Source organism: Homo sapiens, chromosome 20, assembly GCF_000001405.40.
Source record: "Homo sapiens chromosome 20, GRCh38.p14 Primary Assembly".
In the NCBI taxonomy this organism is placed as follows: Eukaryota; Metazoa; Chordata; class Mammalia; order Primates; family Hominidae; genus Homo; species Homo sapiens.
Genome location: NC_000020.11, coordinates 47,537,926 through 47,563,041, shown reverse-complemented (window position 1 = coordinate 47,563,041; position 25,116 = coordinate 47,537,926). Strand labels below are relative to the sequence as shown.

The 25,116-nt window shown below is 40.3% G+C and overlaps 1 protein-coding gene across 4 annotated transcripts in view, besides 1 other annotated feature; it reads right to left on the bottom strand.

Annotated features, from left to right (window-relative positions):
* Window positions 1-25,116, bottom strand: part of NCOA3 (nuclear receptor coactivator 3) — a 154,986-nt gene that overhangs the window by 93,831 nt on the left and 36,039 nt on the right. The gene's annotated exons all lie outside the window — the stretch shown is intronic.
* Window positions 1,494-1,676: a silencer, noted in NCBI's record as "fragment chr20:46190110-46190292 (GRCh37/hg19 assembly coordinates)". NCBI's record gives its function as "represses an EF-1alpha promoter that drives an FKBP-Casp9 reporter gene in an ReSE screen in K562 erythroleukemia cells {active_cell/tissue: K562}" and the evidence as "EXISTENCE:reporter gene assay evidence [ECO:0000049][PMID:32094911]".

The following is a 25,116-nucleotide window of genomic DNA, read 5'->3' as shown; positions in this document are numbered from 1 at the left end:
AGGCGTGTTGGCTCACGCCTGTAATCCTAGCACTTTGGGAGGCCCAGTGGAGAGGACTGCTTGAGGCCAAGAGTTCAAGACCAATCCGGCCAACATAGCAAGACCTCATCATTATTTTTAAAAAATTACTTTTAATAATCATAAAAGTAGCCTCTAAAATATTATTAAAAGTTCTGCATAATTACATGTAAAAGAAGGATACAGAGATATATGGAGAATATATAGGAGAAGAAAAAGAAGAATTTAGAAAATATAACAAAATGTTAATCCCCACAATTACTAGTAGTACTTTTTCCTGCTTTGAAAGTATCCCAAATTTTCCAAAGTGATTGCTATGCTTTTATAATCACAAAATAATAAAAGGTATATGGTACAGTTGTGATTTATATACATTCCTAGGCCGTTTTACATTCAAAATACCAAACCCTAACTAATTCCTTAAAGCTAGATCCCAAATCCAATTCCTGACCCTCATTTGCCAACACAAATTAAAAAAAAAAAAATCAAGACAGATGGACAGATGACAAACAAGTATATGAAAAGATGATCCACATCACACGTCATCAGGGAAATGCAAACTGAAATGATGATACTAATACACACCTGTTGGAATGGCCAAAATCTAGAACACTGACAACACCAAACACTGGAAAGTATGTGAAGCAACAGGAATTCTCATTCATTGCTGGTAGGAATGCAAAAGCCATTTTGGAAGACAGTTGGGCAATTTCTTAAAAAACTAAACATATTCTAACCAGCAATCATGCTCCTTGGTGTTTTACCCAAAGTTGAAAACTTACATCCTACACACAAAAACCTATACACAGGTGCTTATGGCAGCTTTATTCATAATTGCTAAAGCATGGAAGCAACCAAGATGTCCTTCAATAGGTGAGTGGATAAATTGTGGCACATGGAATCTCATTCAGCACTGTAAAGAAATACGCTATCAAGTCATAAAAAGACAGGGAGGAAACTTAAATGCATATTACTAAGCAAAAGAAGCTAGTCTGAAAAGGCTACATACTTTATGGTTCCAACTATATGACATGTCAAAAAAAAAAGCAAAACTATGGGGACAATAAAATGATCAATGGTTGCCTGAGATTACGGGGAAGGAGGGGATGAATAGGTGGGGCATAGATTTTTTAGGGTAGTGAAACTACTCTGTATGATATTTTAATGGTAGATCATTGTAAATTTGCCTAAACTCACAGAATATACAACATTCTATGAATTAACCCTAATGTAAGCTATGAACTCTAGGTGATGATGTGTCAGCATAAATTCATCAACTATAACAAATCCACCACTCTGGCAGGGAGTTGCTGATAATGGAGGAAGACATGCACATATGGGAAATCTCTGTACCCTCCTCTCCATTTTCCTATAACCTTAAACTGCTCTTTAAAAAAATAGCCTAAGCGAGGTGCAGTGGCTCATGCCTGTAATCCCAGCACTTTGGGAAGCTGAGGCAAGAGGATCACTTGAGGCTTAGAGTTGGAGAAAAGCCCAGGCAACATAGCAAGATCCTGTCTCTATGAAATAAAAAAAAAAAGAAAAAGAAAAAAAATTAGCTGGGTGTGCTGGCACAGGCCTATAGTCCTAGCTTCTTGGGGAAGCTGAAGCAAGAGGATCACTTGAGCCCAGGAATTTGAAGCTGCAGTGAGCTATGAACATGCCACTGCACTGCAGTCTGGGCAACAGATCGAGACCGTGTAGCTTTAAAAAAAAAAAAAAAAGTCAACTTGAAAAAAAAAAAAAATTGGCCAGTCCCAGTAGCTCATGCCCATAATCCCAGCACTTTAGGAGGCTGAAGCAAGCAGATCCTTTGACCTCAGGAGTTCGAGACCAGCTTGGGCAACATGGCGAAACCCTGTCTCTACAAAAAATACAAAAAAGTAGCTGAGTATGGTGGCATGCATCTGTGATATCAGCTACTCAGGAGGCTGGAGGCTGCGGTAGGAGGATCGCCTGAGCCCCAGAAGTCAAGCTGCAGTGAGCCAAAATCATACCACTATACTCCAGCCCGGGTGACAGAGACCCTATCTCAAAAAAAAAAAAAAAAAAAAAGAATGAGGGATAAGACTACATATTGGGCACAGTGTACACTGCTCAGGTACACCTAAAAACTCAGAAATCACCACAAAAGAACTCATTAATGTAACCAAAACCACCTATAACTCAAAATTATTGAAATAAAAAAAATTTTTAAATCAAAGCAAGCCAGATCGTGAGAAAAATGTTTAACACATCGAGAATTTACATTCCAAAATATATAAAGAGCTCTTCAATGACAAAATAGTAACACAAGAAACTAGTTAAAAGATGGACTAAAGACACCTCACTGAAGATACACATATAGCAAATAAGCATATGAAGATGCTGAACATCATCTGTTATTACAGGACTGCTAATTAAAACAATGAGATACTACGACATACCTATTGGAATGGCTAAAATCTAAAAAAACTGACAATACCAAATGTTGTGAGCATGCAGAGTAACAGGAACTCTAATTCATTGCTGGTGAGCATACAAATGATACAGCCACTTCAGAAGACAGTTTGGCAGTTTTTCACAAAGCTAAAACCTAACTTAACCATATGATCCAGCAATCACACTTCCAGGTATTTATCCAATTGACTTGAAAGCACGTCCTCATGGCCGGGCACGATGGCTCACATCTGTAATCCCAGCAATTTGGGAAGACAAGGCGGGCAAATCACTTCAGGTCAGGAGTTTGAGACCAGTCTGGCCAACATGGTGAAACCCTCTCTCTACTAAAAATACAAAAAGCCGGCCATGATAGCGCACACCTATAATCCCAGCTACTCGGGTGGCTGAGGCAGGAGAATTGCTTGAAACCAGGAGACAAAGGTTGCAGTGAGCCAAGATTGTGCCACAGCACTCTAGCCTGGGCAACAGAGCGAAACTGTCTCCAAAAAAAAATTAAGGCCAGGTGTGGTGGCTCACTCCTGTAATTCCAACACTTTGGGAGGCCAAGGTGGGTGGACTGATTGAGGCCAGCAGTTCGAGACCAGTTTGGCCAATGTGATGAAAGCCCATCTCTATTAAAAATACAAAAATTGGCCAGTGCAGTGGCTCACGCCTGTAATCCTAGCACTTTGGGAGGCCAAGGTGAGAAGACTGCCTTAGTTGAAGAGTTTGAGACCAGCCTGGGCAACACAGTGAGACCCTGTCTCTGCTAAAAATACAAAAAATTAGCCAGGTGTGGTAGGGTGTGCCTGTAGTCCCAGCTACCTGGGAGGCTGAGGCAGGAGAATCACTGGAACCTGGGAGGCTAATTTTTTTGTATTTTTAGTAGAGACGGGGTTTCACCATGTTGGCCAGACTGGTCTCGAACTCCTGACCTCAAGTGATCCGCCCACCTCGGCCTCCCAAAGTGCTGGGATTACAGAGGTGAGCCACCACGCAGAGCCTGAAAAGATTTTTAATGCAGATGAAAGTGCCCTATTCTGGGGAAGAAAAAAAGACTGCAAAGGACATTTAGTAAGAAAGAGAAGCAAGCATCAGGATATAAGGCAGGAAGGGACAGGCTAACTCTACTGTTTTGTACAAATGCAGTAGGGTTTATGATCAGGACTGCCCTCATCTAAGAAGCTGCTAGCCACCACCTCCCTCCCCTGCTCCAAATCTTGAAGGGAAAAGATAAACACCAGCTGCCAGTCTTTTGGTTGTATAAGAAGGCCTGGAGAACAAGAAGCCTTTTTCTGGATTGAATCCATCAATGCTTTGTCCCTGAAGTCAGGAAGTGCCTTGCCAGTAAGGGACTGCCTTTTAAAGTTCTTTTACTATTGGACAATGCCCTGACCACCCAGAAGCCTATAAGTTCAACAATGAAGGCATTGAGTTGGTTTACCTGCCCCCAAACATGATAACTCTAATTCAGTCTGAAGATCAGGAGGTCATAAGGACCTTTAAGGCTCATTACACATAGTGCTCTATGGGAAGGATTATGGATGCTATGGAAAAGAACCCTAATAGAGAAAACATCATGAAAATCTGGAAAGATTACACCATTGAAGATGCCATCACTGTTACGGAAAAAGCTGTGAAAGGCATCAAGTCCAAAACAATAAATTCCTGCTGGAGAAAACTGTGTCCAGATGTCGTGCATAACTTCAGAGGATTTAAAACAGAGCCTATCAAGGAAATCATGGAGGTTGTGGATATGGCCAAAAAAAAAAAAAAAAAAAAGTGAAAAAAGTAGGGAGTGAAGGGTTTTAAGATATGGATCTTAGAGAAATGTAAGAGCTAAAAGACAACACACACCAGAGGAATTAAGAGAACTTGATGGAGATGAGGGATTCTGAACCAATGCCAAACAATGAGGAAGATGACTTAGAAGAAGCAGCATCCAAAAAAAAGAGACTGACATTAGACAATCTGGCAGAAGGGTTCCAATTATTCAAGACGGCTTGTGACTTCTTTTACTGATAGGGACACTGAAACTGATGCAAACAGTGGAAGAACTGGTAGAGTTCTTTGCACCCTGCCAAATTTCATGTTTTAATCCTCACCTCTCACAATGTGACTATATTTAGAGACAGAACTTTAAAGAGGTGATCCTATTCAAAATGAGGTCACTAGGGTGGCCCTAATCCAATATGACTGGCGCCCTTGTAAGAGGAAATTTAGGCCGGCGCGGTGGCTCACGTCTGTAATCCCAGCACTTTGGGACGCCGAGGCAGGCAGATCACCTGAGGTCAAGAGTTTGAGACCAGCCTGACCAACATGGAGAAACCCCATCTCTACTAAAAAAAAAAAAAAAAAAAAAAAAAAAAATACAAAATTAGCTGGGCGTGGAGGTGCATGCCTATAATCCTAGCTACTCGGGAGGCTGAGGCAGGAGAAATCGTTTGAACCTAGCAGGGGGAGGTTGCAGTGAGCCGAGATTGCGCCGTTGCACTCGAGCCTGGGCAACAAGAGACAGACTCCATCTCAAAAAAAAAAAAAAAGAAAGAAATTTAGACAAAGAGAACAGAGAGAAAACCATGTGAAGACACAGGGAGATGTCAGCCATCTACAAGTCAAAGAAAGAGGCTTCAGAAGGAAGCAACCCTGCTGACTTCTGATTTTGGAATGCTAGCCTCCAGAACTCTAAGAAAATAAATTTGTTTAGCCACTCGGTCTGTGGCACTTTGTTATGGCATCCTTAACTAGACTGGGTTTGTAGACTAGCAGTATATTGTTAGTTGTAATCATTGGTTCCTCAAGTTAAATTTGAAACCACTAAGGATTATACTCATTTGAAAAGTCCAAAACCTAAACATCTAAAGCCAGAGTCAGAAATTATATCTCATATATATCTTTGTCAATAAACTGAATTATCTATATTGTTTGGGCTATGGCTGATTTGAAGGACTATTAACTTTCTATGTATTATCTGACTATATTACTTAATTTGAAGGAAAATATGTACATTCTCAATTTGTATATATGCACCTATTTACAGATGGTCCTCTCAATATTAGAAACAGTTTGTGATTAAGAGGAACACAGACTTTGGAATCAGACAGGTGGCGGTTTAAACCCCAGTGTGTTACCATTTACTAGTTATGCGGCCTTAAGCAAGTTATTTCACCTCTCTGACCCTCAAATTCCTCAACTGTAAATGGGGATGAAAATAATATCTTACAGGATTATCAGGATTAGAGAAAGCCAAGTTAAGCACCTGACACAATTCCTAACACATGGTGGGCACTCAATAAATGGCTGCTATAAGATCATCATCCCAAGAAAATAGGCATGAAAAAAGTAGGTGTTACTGTTGACAGGACTGTAAGCTATTAAAGCTTTCTGAAAAGCAATTTTGAAATCCAGCCAAATATGAAAGATATCCCTTGGACATCCACAGACCCAAAAAATTTGACTTTCAGGAATCCGTTCTATGGAAATTTCTGCAGGAGTGGGTAAAGATGGGAGAAAAAGGATGTTCTTTGTGGCACTGTTTTAACAGCAAATAGCTGGTTTATTATTAGACTATCCACAGATTCATATTTGCCATTATTTTTTAAATGAAAAAGATCTCTATATACTGACAAAAAGATGGCAATGGCAGAGTAAGTACAAGGTGAGCCAACAAAGTAAAAACTGTGTGTTTATATATGCACGGAAATGGGTATGAAAGGATTTAATTCTAAAGCTTTCACTTTTCACATATATTCTACTTTGTAAACTTTTAAAAACAATGTTTTAATAAACATTGATGTCCACCATCTTTTGAGACTGTAATGCTTTCCTGGGCTATAGAATGGGACATGTTAAAGAAAGCTTCACCAGCCTGGCCAACATGATGAAACCCCATCTCTATTAAAAATACAAAAAATTAGTCAGGCATGGTGGCAGGCGCCTGTGATCCCAGTTTCTCAGCAGGCTGAGACAGGAGAATCACTTGCACCCAGGAGGCGGAGGTTGCAGTGAGCTGAGATCACACCACTGTACTACAGCCTGGGTGACAGAGTGAGACCCCATCTCAAACAAAAAAAGGGGAAAAGAAAACTTCAAAGCAAAATATTTTGCACATTAACCCTTCCTTCTCACTGAAAAAGTCCAGAGTCTACTTGAAGCCCAGGTTCAAAATATTGCAAAATCAATTTCTACTCTATATTCTTTCAGCAGCTATTTCTACAGTCAATTCTAACCTTGTGGAGTTAGTCACAAAACATTTTAAAAACTGCTAATTACTTGCCACATAAACAGTTCCATCATAAAAACTCTTCCCCTTCTTGTTCCAAAACAACCTGGTTAAATATACATGTGGAATACAAAATAACTTTAATAGGCTTGGCACAGTGGCTCATGCCTCTAATCCCAGCACTTTGGGAGGCCAAGGCGGGTGGAATGCTTGAGCTCAAGAGTTCGAGACCAGCCTGGCCAACATGGTGAAACCCTGTCTCCAATAAAAATACGAAAATTAGCCAGGCATGGTGGCACATGCCTGTAGTCCCAGCTACCCAGGGGGCTGAGGCAGGAGAATTGCTTGAATCCGGGAGGCAGAGATTGCAGTGAGCCAAGATCACACCATTGCCTGGACAACAGAGGAAGACTCTGCCTCAGAAAAAAAAAAAAAAAAAGGCTGGGTGCAGTGGCTCACGCCTGTAATCCCAGCACTTTGGGAGGCCGAGGCTGGCGGATCATGAGGTCAGGAGATCGAGACCATCCTGGCTAACATGGTGAAACCCCATCTCTACTAAAAATACAAAAAAAAAATCAGCCGGGCATGGTGGCAGGCGCCTATAGTCCCAGCTACTCGGGAGGCTGAGGCAGGAGAATGGCATGAACCTGGGAGGCGGAGCTTGCAGTGAACCGAGATAGTGCAACTGCACTCCAGCCTGGGCGACAGGGCGAGACTCTGTCCCAAAAAAAAAAAAAAAAAAAAAAAACACTTTAATAGTATCTAAGGAAAAACAAAATAAATCTGCATCCAAAATCAAAGGAATCAGTTTGAAAGCTTCAGCACTTTAGATTGGTATGAACTACAATTCTCCCCATTATTGAAGATAATCCAAATTTTACTACACAGAATACTGACAATGGAATTATGGATGGTCACAACAGAAATGGAAATACCTTGATTTACAAATGAGAAACACGAACCACAACAAGTGACTTAACCAAGTTCACACAGTAAAAGAAAGATGGAAGATCAGTGCAGGGCCCTGGCCTCCCACTCCAATATTCTTTTTTCTAGATCATGTTGCCTAACATCATAGCTTACAGAGTTTTATATTAACACCTTTTTCCAAATAAATTAGCAAATATAGCATCAGATAATATACTTGGCTTCATAAATATGCAAAAATGAAACAAACGTTAGCTGGCATATATATACTACCTGGCATATTTGCAACAATATCTATAGAGCTTTGCATTCATTGAAATTTCAAGAGTGTAAATAGGGAATCCTTTCCCCATTGCTTGTTTTTGTCAGCTTTGTCAAAGATCAGATACTTGTAGATATGCAGCATTATTTCTGAGGGCTCTGTTCTGTTCCATTGGTCTATATCTCTGTTTTGGTACCAGTACCATGCTGTTTTGGTTACTGTAGCCTTGTAGTATAGTTTGAAGTCAGGTAGCGTGATGCCTCCAGCTTTGTTCTTTTGGCTTAGGATTGACTTGGCAATGTGGGCTCCTTTTTGGTTCCATATGAACTTTAAAGTAGTTTTTTCCAATTCTGTGAAGAAAGTCATTGGTAGCTCGATGGGGATGGCATTGAATCTATAAATTACCTTGGGCAGTATGGCCTTTTTCACGATATTGATTCTTCCTACCCACGAGCATGGAACGTTCTTCCATTTGTTTGTATCCTCTTTTATTTCATTGAGCAGTGGTTTGTAGCTCTCCTTGAAGAGGTCTTTCACATCCCTTGTAAGTTGGATTCCTAGGTATTTTATTCTCTTTGAAGCAATTATGAATGGGAGTTCACTCATGATTTGGCTCTTTGTTTGTCTGTTATTGGTGTATAAGAATGCTTGTGATTTTTGCACATTGATTTTGTATCCTGAGACTTTGCTGAAGTGCTTATCAGCTTAAGGAGATTTTGGGCAAGGACTTCATGTCTAAACACCAAAAGCAATGGCAACAAAAGCCAAAATTGACAAATGAGATCTAATTAAACTAAAGAGCTTCTGCACAGCAAAAGAAACCACCATCAGAGTGAACAGGCAACCTACAGAATGGGAGAAAATTTTTGCAACCTACTCATCTGACAAAGGGCTAATATCCAGAATCTACAATGAACTCAAACAAATTTACAAGAAAAAAACAAACAACCCCATCAAAAAGTGGGCGAAGGATATAAACAGACACTTCTCAAAAGAAGACATTTATGCAGCCAAAAAACACATGAAAAAATGCTCGTCATCACTGGCCATCAGAGAAATGCAAATCAAAACCACAATGAGATACCATCTCACACCAGTTAGAATGGCAGTCATTAAAAAGTCACGAAACAACAGGTGCTGGAGAGGATGTGGAGAAATAGGAACACTTTTACACTGTTGGTGGGACTGTAAACTAGTTCAACCATTGTGGAAGTCGGTGTGGCGATTCCTCAGGGATCTAGAACTAGAAATACCATTTGACCCAGCCATCCCATTACTGGGCATATACCCAAAGGATTATAAATCATGCTGCTATAAAGACACATGCACACATATGTTTATTGCGGCACTATTCACAATAGCAAAGACTTGGAACCAACCCAAATGTCCAACAGTGACAGACTGGATTAAGAAAACATGGCACATATACACCATGGAATACTATGCAGCCATAAAAAATGATGAGTTCATGTCCTTTGTAGGGACATGAATGAAGCTGGAAACCATCATTCTCAACAAACTATCGCAAGGACAAAAAACCAAACACCGCATGTTCTCACTCATAGGTGGGAATTGAACAATGAGAACACATGGACACAGGAAGGGGAACATCACACACCGGGGACTGTTGTGGGTGGGGGGAGGGGGGGAGGGATAGCATTAGGTGATATACCTAATGCTAAATGACAAGTTAATGGGTGCAGCACACCAGCATGGCACATGTATACATATGTAACAAACCTGCACATTGTGCACATGTACCCTAAAACTTAAAGTATAATAATAATAATTTAAAAAAAAAATTTTCAAGAGTGTAAAAGTATCTTGATCGGACACTGCAAAGGTGTCTGCTCTACAGAAGCAGAGATGAAAATGCTTTAGGAGAACCAATTCATCCAATTCCCTTGAAAGCAGAGGAACTAGTTAGATTCTAATTAGCCAAAAGACCAGATTTTCAGGCCAGGCACGGTGGCTCACGCCTGTAATCCTAACACTTCAGGAGGCCAAAGCGAGCAAATCCCTTAAGCCCAGGAATTCAAGACCAGACTGAGCAACATGGCGAAACCCCGTCTCTACATAAAAATACGAAAATTAGCTGGACATGGTGGTGTGTGCTTGTAGTCCCAGCTACCCGGGAGGCTGAGGTGGGAGGATCCCTTGAGCCCTGGAGGCAGACTTTACAGTGAACCAAGATCGTACCACTGTACTCCATCCAGCCTGGGTGACAGAGCAAAACCCTGTCTTAAAAAAAAAAAAAAAAATCTAACCATGTATTTTGAAAAGCATGTTTTTGTTTGTTTCAATCACATTTTTCCCTTTTACAGTAATGCTTCTCATCTCTGATTTCAAAGTCACCTTTCATCCTAATGAAGACACATAGCTCTGATTTTCTCTCTAGAACAAGACCCAGATGAAATATAGGCTAATGCAAAGGGGAATTTCTTTTCATATATTCCTTTATTGAAAACTGGTTTGATAAAAACAACAAAAACCTTTAATGAACAGCTTTTCTTGTATAATGTTCGTATATAACAAAAAAAATTAAAACCTACAAAGTAAGGACAAGGAAAATTAACAGCAGTATGAGACAAAGAATATATGAAATAGAACCTAGGTAGATAGATCTACTATCTACCTGCAATCTGGTTTGGGGAAAATATAATGATCATCCTGTTCTTATATGGACAAGGGCTTCAGCAACTGGCAACTTCAAGCTAAGTTTACCAAAATATAAAATAAATGCTAAGAAATCTTTGCTCTTGCCTCATATCAAAAAGCAAATATTGAGGGAAATATGTTTAGATATCTTCAAACATAACCACAGTAAAATTACGCTGCTGCATTTTTTAAAGTCAGAAATGGAATAAAATTAAAGTATTACAATATGGGCTATGGCTAATTTATAGATTTTCCATTGGCCTTCTAATCTGGCAGGTTAAAACTCAATATTCAAAAACATACAGTTCATCAATACTAACACAAAATGCTGTTTATAAGTATAACTTTGCTAGATATGCTTCAGTAATGTGATATGATAATTAACTTCATTTTATCAACTGAGTGTTGATATTTTCCCTTAACAAAATCCAAGTATTCAGGGCTATGAGTGATGAGTGACCTTGAGACAGCACTTGGCAAGCAGTCACCATGGCAACACTGCCACAGAAGTGCCTCATCCTCAGCAAAAGGGCCAACCTGGTACATTAGGATTTAAAAACCTAGAGATACAGAGCTTCCTTAAAGCCCAAAAAACAACAGTAAAATTAAAGTTTTTTTAAAACCTAACAATTTACTTTTAAAAAATGTTTACATTAACCTTTCTATTTTAGCCTTCCTATTTATTCCTCATGGAAGGATACATACGTATTAAGTTATCTTAACAGTAAAATATTGAACCATATAAAAATTCTTCTTTTCCCTTTCTGTTTCCTACGTGGGCAAAATAAATTGCTATGGCATACACAAATAATGTTTTTCCATTTTTAAAAAATACATGTTTAAAATTTTTCAACAGAATCACCACTATTTTAATCATCTTTTAATCACTGTCAAAAAGAAACATTCATCTTAGTAAGAAAATTTATCTTCCAGCCTGCACTTTCATAAAGAAACACACACACATCCTGGAGGTGAGGGGTCTTAAAATTTCAAATACAAAATATGCATTTGTAATTCTGTTTATAAAAACACGAAATGTAAAGATCTTTAGTGTGTACAGTTATACGTCTTTGCTTCAGACATAAATTAAGTTGGTTGTTGTAGAAAGTCTACTGCTTGAAAGATGGGAATGTGTCAATTCAGGGAACGTGTCATTACATCACCAACACAGCCAGCACGGAGCCTGACAACAAACAGGTACCAAAGGACTTGAATGTTTTTGCTCAAGTACCTACCAGAAGATTCTTGAAAAACTATGGGCCCCAGAACATTTGCAAGTTGACATTTAAATTTTTCATCAATTTAGTTACGAAGTAGTCACTTCCAAGATATTATGAGCATTAGCATTTTAATAAGGTGTTATATCACTCTTACATATTGAAAAGAACCTAGATCATCTCCAAGTCAGAAATTCTACAACTCTTCCTTTCTCCTGAAATATAAAATTTCCGTTCTTCTTCCCCAGAATTTAATCATGAGGAAATGCCATTTTATGCTTGAATGTATTTTATTATCCTATATCTGAAAAAAGATATATAAACTGAAATAATTAAATTCCATCTGATCATAAGGTCTAAGTATTGAAAAACATCTTATTCTGAGTTACTATGATCATTATTAGGATGTAATTGTTCAAAACATAAACATATTACAAATTTGGGTAATATATACATAAAAATACACTTTTCACTGTCAGTGAATCTGTTCGCTACAATGAGCAAGATGTTTTGTCCTTCTCCCACCACTGACATGCACTCATTTTTTGTAAGATTAAAATGTGCTGACATAAGTAGATTAAATACATGGAAGGAGTTATGTGAAAGCGATGTCATTCAATTCTTTCAGTATAATCTTAATTACATGATAAGAGTCTCAGTGAACTACCATCAAAAATTATGTTTTCATGATCTCTCAGAGAGCAATTTGATTAACTTCCACCTCAATTCTGATGAAAACACACTTAGAAACCAACTAATAGGTCGTTTGTTAATCAGTCATTGAGAGTCATTCACTTGTTAAACTCTGACACCAGTATTTCTAATTGCCCATGTGTTTCAAACCCCCCCACCTTTTTTTTTTTTTTTTTTCTGAGACGGAGTTTTGCTCTTGTTGCCCAGGCTGGAGTGCAATGGCACGATCTCAGCTCACAGCAACCTCTGCCTCCCGGATTCAAGCAATTCTCCTGCCTCAGCCTCCCGAGTAGCTGAGATTACAGGCATGTGCCTCCATGCCCGACTAATTTTGTATTTTTAGTAGAGATGGGGTTTCTCCATGTTGGTCAGGTTGGTCTCAAACTCCCAACCTCAGGTCATTTGCCCACCTCGGCCTCCCAAAGTGCCGGGATTACAGGTGTGAGCCACCGCGCCTGGACTTCAAACCCTTTTAAAAAAAAAAAAAAATTGAAATACAACACAGTAAAACGGGAGACTTCTTACTTCTTTTGGCAGTTAGAAGAATAATTGTAAAAAGAGACATCTGGAGAATAAGGCTCTGCAAGCTTTCTCAGGCCAACTTAAAAAGTTAAAAGAACAGCCAGCACAGTGGCTCACGCCTGTAATCCCAGCACTCTGGGAGGCCCAGGTAGGCAGACTGCTTGAGCTCAGGAGTTTGAGACCAGCCTAAGCAACATGGTGAAATCATGTCTCTACAAAAAATTACAAAAATTAGCCAGGCATGGTGGTGGCGTGCGCCTGTAGTCCCAGCTATTTAAGAAGCTAAGGTGGGAGGATTTCTTGAGCCTGGGAGGTAGAGGCTGCAATAAGCCTTGATTGTGCCACTACACTCCAGCCTGGTGACAGAGGAAGACTCTGTCCCCAAAAAAGAGAAGAAAGAAGAAGAATTTAAGAGAACAAAGGTTTGTGAATCTGCAAACCTGGAAACTGATCTCATTAAATCATCTGTGCTCAAGCCTCTAGATCCAACCACCACCAATTTATACAAAATACAGAAGACTTTTTTTTTTTTTTTTTTTTTGAGACAGAGTCTTCGCTCTGTTGCCCAGGATGGAGTGCAGCAGACAGATCATAGTTTGCTGTAGCCTCAACCTCCTGGTCTCAAGTGATTGCCATGTCTCAGCCTTCCGGGTAGCTGGGACCGCAGGTACCTGTCATCCTGTGCCCAGATAAATTTTTTTTTAACCACATCATGCCCAGCTAATTTTTTTTTTTAATTTTTTGTCAATCTGGGGTCTTGCCATGTTGCCCAGGCTGGCCTCAAACTCCTGGGCTTAAGTGATCCTCTCACCTCAGCCTCCCAATGTGCTGGCATTACAGGCAAGAGCTGCTGCACCAGGCCTAAAAACTTTTTTATTACAAAGTTAATACATGTTCTCCATAGGTGATACAAAATTAAGGATAGTTAAGTCCATGATGGCTCAGGACTGTAATCTAACACTTTTGGAGGCTGAGGTGGGAGGATCACTTGAGCCCAAGAGCTCGAGACCACCCTAGGCAACGTGGTGAGACCCCCATCTCTACAAAAAATTTAAAAAATGTTTTAAATACAGTTTTTACATCTTTGAAGTTTATGCATTACATCCAATCCAAACCAAGAAAACACTAATTTAACAAATGTTCTCAATAATAATAATTCACTATTAATTTTTAAAATTCATTAAATGGTATTTTTAGGAGACCCTTTAAAATGCTATTGATTTTATCATATTCACCAAATGAAGACCTCACAGATATTATTTCACATCTTGTGCCTAACAGCAGTACGCAGAACAGAGTGGCCCTTCTTGGGGAGACTACACAGTAAACCATCATGACATAATTAATCCTTTCTAGATTACTGCAACTCTACTGATTTGCTGAAACAGAATAAAAACATTGAGAAGGCATAATATACATGCACACTTTTTTAAAAGCATTTCTCAATTGCATGTTAATGTCTATCGACATGTACCACCCCTTCTTCTCAAACTGCCACTGAAAATGCAGTAAAAAAGATTTTTTTTTAATTTTTATTTTTATTTTATTTTATTTTTTGAGATGGAGTTTCACTCTTGCCACCCAGGCTGGAGTGCAGTGGCATGATCTCAGCTCACTCCAACCTCTGCCTCCCAGGTTCAAGTGATTCTCCTGCCTCAGCCTCCCGAGTAGCTGAGATTACAGGCGCCTGCCACCATGCCCAGCTAATTTTTTGTATTTTTAGTAGAGACGGGGTTTCGCCATGTTGGGCTGGCTGGTCTGGAACTCCTGACCTCAGGTGATCTGCCTGCCTCAACCTCCCAAAGTGCTGGGATTACAGGTGTGGGCCACCGCACCTGGCCTAGAATGAATTTTTTTTTTTTAAAGGAACCTTTTTTTATTAGGCTTAGAGAGTAAGAAAACAAATAAGAAATTCTCTTATATATATGACAGGTGGTAACTCACAATTCCTCTATATTAACAAATCACCCTAACTTTATTTAACCAATTTCAGAGTCAACTTCCATCTTAAATGGATTTCTAGAAACAGTTCCAGCCTAAAGAGACGGGAAGCTAAAATAAAACCAACAAAGGCTGAGCATGGTGGCTCACACCTATAATCCCAGCACTTTGGGAGGTCGAGGCAGGTGGATAACCTGAGGTCAGGAGTTCAAGACCAGCCTGGCCAACTTGGTAAACCCCATCTTTATTAAAAATAAAAATAAAATAAAATAAAATAATTAGCAGGGGGTGGTGGCAGGCGCCTGTAATCCTAGCTACTCGGGAGGCTAAGGCACGACAATCGCTTGAACCCAGGAGGTGGAGGTTGCAGTGAGCTGAGATCATGCCACTGCACTTCAGTCTGGGTGACAGAGCGACACTCCATCTCAAAAAATAACAAAACGGGCCGGGCGCGGTGGCTCATGCCTGTAATCCCAGCACTTTGGGAGGCCGAGGCGGGTGGATCACGAGGTCAGGAGATCGAGACTATCCTGGCTAATGTGGTGAAACCCTGTCTCTACTAAAAACACACACACAAAAAATTAGTCGGGCATGGTGATGGGCGCCTGTAGTCCCAGCTACTCAGGAGGCTGAGGCAGGAGAATGGTGTGAACCCGGGAGGTGGAGCTTGCAGTAAGCCGAGATCGCACCACTGCACTCTAGCCTGGGTGGCAGAGCGAGACTCCGTCTAAAATAATAATAATAATAATAATAATATAAAAATAAAATAAAATCAACAAAAACTAGGAACTTTCCTAAAGTACTCCCACCACAGGGTTTAAAGAGAAACGATATGCTGTGACCCAGAAAAACATCTTAACGCCACAGATGGGGTAAGAGAAGGGCTTTAGGACGTCACCCTTTCAAGGAAATACAGAGTGTGTTTATTCACTCGACAAATGAATGATGAACATCTACCATATGCCAGACACCTACCTAAGTGTTTGAGATATGTCAGTGAGCAATGGGGACTAGGATTCTTGTTCTTGTGGAGCATATGCTTTATAATTAAACACAATAAATAAGTAAAGTATTAATATATTAGAGCATTAGTGCTATAAGGTCAGAGGTTCCGGTATTAAATAGGGTGGTAAGGGTGGGCCTCATTAAGAGTGTAAGAATTGAGACTTTAAAGAGATGAGGAACTTAATCAGACATATGACAGAAACATTCCAAGAAAGGGCATACCCAAAGGCAAGAATGTGCCTGCACTGGATGAAGAACGGTACTGGATCAAGAATGAACAAGGAAGACAGGAATGATAGGTGAGATCAGAGATGTAACAGAGGCAGGCCGGTAGCGGTGGCTCATGCCTGTAACCTCAGCACTTTGGGAGGCCAGGGCGGGAAGATCACCTGAGTTAGGGAGTTCAAGACCAGCCTGACCAACATGGAGAAACCCCATCTCTACTAAAAATACAAAATTAGCTGGGCGTGGTAGCACATGCCTGTAATCCCAGCAACTCGAGAGGCTGAGGCAGAAGAATCACTTGAATGCGGGAGGCGGAGGTTGCAGTGAGCCAAGACTGCGCCACTGCACTTCAGCCTAGGCAACAAGAGGGAAATTCGGTCTTAAAAAAAAAAAAAAAAAAAAACAGAGGCAAGTCACAGAGTCTCATTGAAACAAAGTAAGAACTTTCATTTCTACTCCGGGTGAAATAAGAAACCTCTACATAGTCTAGAAGAGAGGAATGACAAACCGGTTTAGGATTGTAAAAGATCCCTCCAGCTGTTACGTTACTAACAGGATACAAGGAAACAAGAGTAAAATGCAGGAAGACTTATTAGGATGTTATTACAATAACTCACAGAAAATGTTGGTTCAATGGAATTACTGAGATGTGGCCAGACACTACATATATCTTAAAAATAGCAAGGAGATAAAAGAGTAGTCAAGGTTTTTAAGCCTAAGCAACAGCAAGAATGAATTACCAACAATGAGAAAGAAAAGGCTTTAGTGAAGATCTTACAGGGAAAATGATGAGATTGGTTTGGGACATGTTGAGTTTCAGTTGTCCATTAGAAATCTAAATGAAAAGGTTCAGAGGACAGTTGGATATACAAGTGAGGAAACAAAAGAGAGGTTTATCTCACATAAACAATATACAGGCCTGGCACAGTGGCTCATGCCTGTAATCCCAACACTTTGGAAGGTTGAGGTGGGAGGATCACTTGAGCTCAGGAGTTCTAGACCAGCCTGGGCAACATGGCAAAACCCCATCACTATAAAAAATACAAAAATTAACCAGGCATGATGGCATGCCCCTATAGTCCTAGCTATTCAGGATGCTGAGGCAGGAGGATCGCTTGAGCCCAGGAGGTGGAGGTTGCAATGAGCCATGATCACACCACTGCACTTCAGCCTAGGCGACAGACCGAGACCGTGTCTCCATATATATATCACAAAGATGATCCAATATATGTATAGTAGGAATCCCAAAGAAGAAAACCAAGGCAGTAAGACAAAAAAAACAAAAAGCAAATAAAAAAAAAACAGCACTAAGAAAACCTTCATGATATTGAGAAAAACAGAGACAAAAAAAGAAGAGGGGAAGGAAGCTTGAAACTATTAATACATATTGAAAAGACTCACTGAATGCCCAAGGAAAAATGTGTCAGACCAACCAACACCAATAAGATTACAAAGGCCAGGCGCAGTGGCTCACGCCAGTAATCCCAGCACTTTGGGAGGCCAAAGCAGGTGGATCACCTGAGGTCAGGAATTCGAGATCAGCCTAGACAACATGGCAAAACCCTATCTCTACTAAAAATACAAAAATTAGCTGGGCGTGGTAGTACATGCCTGTAGTTCCAGCTACTAGGGAGGCTGAGGCAGGAGAATCCCTTGAACCCGGAAGACAGAGGTTGCAGTGAGCCGAGATCCTGTCACTGCACTCTAGCCTGGGCAACAAAGTGAGACTCTTTCTCAAAAAAAAAAAAAAAAAAAATCCTATGGATATCTAAACAATTACAAAAAAAAAAAAAAAGCTACATTGCTCAAAGAAAAACAGGTCGACATCATCATACTGTAACAGCTATGCTCTGTGCCAGAAGACAGTGGAATGACATATTTCAGATACTGTGGAACAGAATTTTATCATCACCAAGCCAGCTTTTAACTATTAAAGCTGCAGACAAACTTCTCAAACATAGGGGAACACAAGGAATACTGTTCCCATAAGCTCTTCCTGAGGAATTTATTAGAGAAAATGAATTCCAGATGACCCAAATAACTGGAAAGTCCATATCAACATAAAAATGGTAGTGGGCATTAAATATATATTTATCTGTAAAAACCTGAATGAGGGTTCTAAGTGACACTTTATACTACATAATGACTATATGTTCCAACATTGTAGCTAGAGCACAACTATCCATAAACTGAAGTATGAAGAGATAAAAACTGGAAAAAAAACTGGCTGATTACCTGATATCAACTGAAAGAAAAAGATATTACTTTAAATCAAATGCTTGGGAAGAAAAAGAAGTTACTAGGTAATTTCAATAGTATTCAAAGTAAGAAACCAACAGAAAATAACCAAAAAATTGGGGGGGCACTAAGTCTATTACATAAGGATTTTAATATAAAGGCAACATCTAAAACAAAATACAAACTTCATAAATTTTTTTAAATACCCACAACAATTAGTCAGGCATGCTGACACATGCCTGTGGTCCCAGCTACACAGAAGGACCGCTTAAACCCAGGAGGTTGAGGCTGCAGTGAACCATGTCAGCACAACTGCATTCCAGCCTGGGTGACAGTGAGACCCTGCGTTTAAGGGAAAAAAAAAAAAAAAAAAAAAGTAGTATTAAATAAAAGACAAATAAAGATACATTATCATGAACATCCATCCTACACCTAACTGAAAAAAAAAAACTTGAACAAAATAAACCCCAAAAAAACAAAAGGGAGAGATTAATAAAGAATAGGATTGGATCCTGGAACAGAAAAAAACACAAGAGTGGAAATTTGACAATATCTGCTACTTAGTTAACAGTATTATACCAGTGTTAGCCTTAGTTTTGATCACTATAACATGGCTATGCAAGTTATTAAATTGGGGGAATCGGGGTGGAGTACACAGGAAAACTCTACTATTTTTGCAACATTCCCAAAAGTCTAAAATTATTTCAAAATAGTTTTTTTTTAAACTTTGAGAAAAAAAATGTTTTTTACCACAGGAGAATACTAGTAAACCAACTTGTTATTTTAAATACTAGTAAATAGAGTCTAACATATATCACATCTTTCCTATGTAAACTGTACCCACACCAGGTGACCAAATACTTGATTAGAAAAAGCTTTTCTTGGCTGGGCACAGTGGCTCACGCCTGTAATCCCAGCTCCCTGGGAGGACAAGGCAGGTGGATCACCTGAGGTCAGGAATTCGAGACCAGCCTGGCCAACATGGTGAAACCCCGTCTACACTAAAAGCACAAAACTGAGCCAGGCGTGGTGGTGCGCACCAGTAGTCCCAGCTACTCGGGAGGCTGAGGCAGGAGAATCACTTGAACCCAGGAGGTGGAGGTTGCGGTGAGCCGAGATCCCACCATTGCACTCCAGCCTGGGCAACAGAGCAAGACTCTCTCCAAAGGAAAAAAAAAAAAGAAGAAGAAGAAAGAAAGAAAAAGTTTTTCTTTATAGTATCTGCTAATATTAACAACTCAAAGAAAAACAGACGTCATGTGTCTTCTGATAAACCACACTCCCTGGGAAGTAGTCTCACTGTAGTAGCCAGCACCAAGATGACATCCCCAGTGACACCCATCTCTAGGTATTCATGAACTTAAGCAGTCCCCTCCCATACTGTATCAAAGTTGGTCTATGTGACCAAAAGAAAAGTGACAAGCTGTCACTTCTGAGGTCACAAAGGCATTTCAAATTCCCTCCTCCTTTTCTCCTTCTCTCTGATCACTAGCTCTGGCAGTAGCTTTAGGACACTCAGGCAGAAACTGAGACCTCCCACCAATGGTCACTGAGTAAGCCACCTCGGAAGCAAATCCTCCAGCCTTTGTTAAACCTTCAGATGACTGCAACCCATTAAGAGTACTAAAACCACAACTCCCCAGCTAGGCTACTCCCAGAGTCCTAACCTTCAGAAACTGTGGAAGATAATAAATACTAAGGAGTTTGGGAGGTTTATTTTGCTTTGTTTTGAAACAGAGTCTTGCTGTCACCCAGACTGGAGTACAGTGGTGTGTTCTCAGCCAACTGCAACCTCCACGTCCCAGCTCAAGACATCCTCCCTCCTGCCTCAGCCTCCCAAGTAGCTGGGACAACAGGTATGTGCCACCATGCCCGGATAATTTTTGTATTGTTTGTATAGATGGGGTTTCGCCATGTTGCCCAGGCTGGTCTCAAACTCCGGGGCTCAAATGATCCACCCGCCTGGGCTTCCCAAAGCGCTGGGACTATAGGCATGAGCCACCATGCCTGGCCAATTTTTAGAGAGAGGGTCTTGCCTAGGAATTGCCTATTCACAGGTGCAATCACAGCTCACTGCAGCCTCAAACTTCCAGGCTTAAGCAGTCCTCCCACCTCAGTTTCCTGAGGTGCTGGGACCAATAAATGCTGGTTTAAGATGTCAAGTTTGGAGATAATTTGTTACACAGCAACAGATAATGAATATGCTTGTAAAAAATAACTGAACCAGAAACTGATCAAGACTTGAAAGCTAACTACCATTTTAAAAATAGAGAGAGAGAGGACAGAGGACACACTGAAAAACCACCACAAAGACATACTTTGCAAAATCCAGACAATAAGAAACTCTACAGGAAGCCGGGCACGGTTACTTGTGCCTGTAATCCCAGCACTTTAGGAGGCCAAGACAGGACAATCACTTGAGGCCAGGAGTTCCAGACCAGCCTGAGTAACATAGCAAGAGCCCCTTTTCCACCAAAAAAAAAAAAAAATTTTAATGTAGCTGGCATGGTGGTGTGCACCTTTAATCCCAGCTACTTGGGAGGCTGAGGTGGGAGGATCGCTTGAGCCAACGAGTTTGAGACTACAATAAGCTATGATCACAGCATTGCACTCCAGCCTGGGTGACAGAATAAGTCTCTGTCCCTCCAACAACAACAACAACAAAAAAAAAAAAAAAAAAAAACTCTACAGGGCAAAAAATAATTTGATAAATTGGAAGGAAAAAAGAGATGAAGAGAAAACCTATATTAACAGAAACTTAGGTCGCATAAAAACCAAATTGCAATGTCTGCATCTTGTTTGAATCTGATTCCAACAAATTAAAAAATGAGGAGAACTAGAAAACTGAAGTGACTGTGTATTTGATGCTACTAAGAAATTAATGCAGGTTTTCTAGATGTAATAATGTAGAGTTTGCTTTTTATGAAAGACAGTTGTATCTTTTATAGATACTTAAGGAAATTATATAATGTCTAGTATTTGCTTCAAAACGGTATGAAGGAGTATTGCCTGGAATCCCAGTACTTTGGGAGGCCTTGCAAGGCAGGAGGGTAACTTGAGGGCAGGAGGGTAACTTGAGGCCAGGAGTTCGAGACCAGCCTGAGCAACAACATAGAAAGGCCCCATCTCTACAAAAAAATTTAAAAATTAAACGGGCACAGTGACACACACCTGTGGTCCCAACTACTCAGGAGACTGAGGTGGGAGGATCCTTTGAGCCTGAGGAGAGAGAGGGGAAGGGAGGAGAAAGGAGGGGAGGGGAGAGGGGAGGGGAGGGGGGAGGGGAGGGGAGGGGAGGGGAGGGGAGGGGAGGGGAGGGGAGGGGAGGGGAGGGGAGGGGGGAGGGGAGAGTGGGGAAAGGAGGGGGAGGGGGGACAGAGAGAACATTAGTGATGTAAAGGGGATTAATGCTTGTTTCCACCCTTTAGAAGTTAATCATGAATGCTACAAGTCACAAAAAGTGACCTCGGCAATGACTCACAAAGTACAACTGATTGAAAACGTGGCAAGAGTGACATTGAAGGAATTTAGGGACAGGGAGTTCCTCTTTTTTTTCACCCAAAGATTTTTCTTCTAAAACTGAGTACTTTCTCCATCTACTTGATACAATAGAAGCAAATACATGTAGAAAGCATGATCTACTTTTCTCTGGGGTAGTAGCTCCTGCACTCTCATATGGAGATTTAAAAAAATTAAGATACAATAGTTCATGTTCAAACAGTTTGCAGTTCCATTTGTAACAAACATTAATATGATTTTAAAGGTAAAGTAAATAATCTCACTAACTGAAAATATCTCCCAGGAATTCATTTACATCCTTCCCTAGATTACCCCAGCCCCAAACAATCATTTCTTCCTCTGAACTCCAAAAGCAATTATTTGTACAATTTATTTGGCAATTAATCCTTCACTGCCTTGTTAAACCTCTTGCATTATTCTCTGAAATGTTATTTAAATCTTCTCTAGTTATCTTTCATGTTTAGTTCTCATCTCCCCAAACAGACTATAAATTCCTTGAGAAGAAGAGATAAGACCTTATATTGTTTTGTATACACACAGACCCACAGAGTAGCTAGCACAGAGTAAATACAAAGATATTTGAATTTTTTTTTTTTTTTTGAGACAAGAGTTTCACTCTTGTTGCCCAGGCTGCAGTACAATCCTGCGGTCTCAGCTCACTGCAAACTCCACCTCCTAGGTTCAACCGATTCTCCTTCCTCAGCCTCTCAAGTAGCCGGATTACAGGCACCCACCACCATGCCCAGCTAATTTTTGTATTTTTAGTAGAGGGGGGTTTCACTATGTTAGCCAGGCTGGTCTCGAACTCCTGACCTCAGATGATCCACCCTCATCGGCCTCCCAAAGTGCTGGGATTACAAGTGTAAGCCACCGCGCCCCAGCCAAGATATTTGATTTTAAGGAAAAATAGGAAAAATCCATTTCAAAGAAAATGTTTAAAGCCATGCCAACTAAGTATCTCCAAGCCAAAGTTGACTATCTTCAAGCCAAAGTTGACATACAGGCCAATGTACTATTTTATTTCCTTGACTCCTAAGGCAATGTAGGGTGGTAAAAAGGGCATGGCCTCCGAAATCTGAGAGACCTCAATCTGGATCCTCTACTGGAGAGCTTATGTAATTAACCCATGAGCTTCAATTTCCTCCTCTCTCAAATGAAGATAGTAATATCCAACTCTAGAAGGTTTCATGATTGTTAAATGAGAGTTTATGTAAAACTAGTATCCCTTAAATATTTTGGGGTTTGTTCATATTTTTACATCTTTAAAATCAGAATATGTCATGTTATTGGCAGTATCCAATTATTTATTTGAAAGTTTTACATTTTCTTTCCCAGTAGTACATAAAATAGGCCGGGTGCGGTGGCTCACACCTGTAATCCCAACACTTTGGGGGGCCAAGGCAGGCGGATCACTTGAGGCCAGGAGTTTGAGACCTAGTAATACGTAAAATAATGTTGTGTTCTATAATTGATGGTATCTTAAACTTGATGAAATTTGGTAATAGCTAGCAGCATCCTCAACAACGCTGGCTTCATCTCCTCCTTCCTCCCTCACACCCATTCATAAACTATCATATGAACAGAAAACAAGCTATAAAATGGAAAAACCACCAAATCCATTCAAAGAGCTTAGCACTTTGCCATTCAGTGTGTGCTCAATAAATAAAAACCTGCTACTGCTACTCTAAATTTATTCAGCAAATATTTGAGTACCTACTATGTGTCTGCCACCATTCTGAGCACTAAGGATATAGCAGTAAACAAAACAGATACCTCCCAGTCCTCAAATAGTTTATGTTCTATTAGCATAACTTTTATTTTATTTTTTCCTGGAGACAGGGTATCGTTGTCACCCAGGCTACATATAGTACGATGGTATGACCAGAGCTCACTGCAGCCTCAAACTCTTGGGATCAAGCTACCTCCTACCACCTTATCAAGTAGCTTATCAAGCCACCTTATCAAGTAGCTGGGACTACAGGAACATGCCACCATGCCTGGCAGCACATACAAATTCTATGGCACAAGAAATGAAAAGCTAAAATTCACAACTAAGTCAACAGATTGTCCCAAAGGCTGAAAAAGCTAAGCAACCCAAGAAAGATACTAAAACACAACTCAGGCAAACCACTAAGGAAAACCTTACCCAAAGGCAAAGTGAAGTCTTGAAATCAATTCATCCAAGTTTTTGTTCTAAATAAAAGGTTTGAGAAAAAGTAAAACAGCCAGAACAGATGCTGAAACTTAACAGGGAAAAGTGAGAATATAACATCTTCTCCAGTTTCTGAAAACTAAACATCTTTTAGATTCATCTGAAAGAGAAGAATAGTGGCTGGGCACAGTGGCTTACGCCTGAAATCCCAACACTTTGGGAGGCCAAGGTGGGAGGATCATGAGGTCAGGAGTTCGAGACCAGCCTGGCCAACATGGGGAAACCCTGTCTCTACTAAAATTACAAAAATTAGACTGGCATGGTGGCACACGCCTGTAATCTTGTAATCCCAGCTACTCAGGAGGCTGAGGCAGGAGAATTACTTGAACCCGGGAGGCAGAGGTTGCAGTGAGCTGAGGTCACACCACTGCACTCTAGCCTGGGTGACAGGTGTCTCAAGAAAAAAAAAAAAGAATAGTAATAATGCTGGTTATTTAAGAAACACAAACTTCTTTAAGGAGGCAGAGAAAATTATGTTTTTAAAAAGTATCTTATGTGTCCACAAATCATTTTTCCAAAGCTCTTCCAATTGCAGTTACAGACTGGAACATCAGACTCTCTTAAACAGAATGTTACAAGTCAGGTTCACCACTACTCTCTACCCCAAATAAATTAATATTATTCTTCGCTTCTAACGCAGTGCCTAAAAAAACCACATCGTGAATTACTATAGCAGTCCAGACCAAAAGACTTGTGTCAAGTCAACTAAAGATCATCTAAATGGGACATTTTTAATCATCTTGGGTTTTTTTCCCCCAAAGTTAGAGCTTAAAAACCTATTAGTCCAGGCGCGGTGGTTCATGCCTGTAATCCTAGCACTTTGGGAGGCCAAGGTGGGTGGATCACCTGAAGTCAGGAGTTCAAGACCAGCCTGGCCAACATAGTGAAACCCTGTCTCTACTAAAAATACAAAAATTAGCCAGGCATGGTGGCAGGCACCTGTAATCCCAGATACTCAGGAAGCTGAGACAGGAGAATCACTTGAACCCAGGAGGTGGAGGTTGCAGTAAGCCAAGATTGAGCCACTTCACTCCAG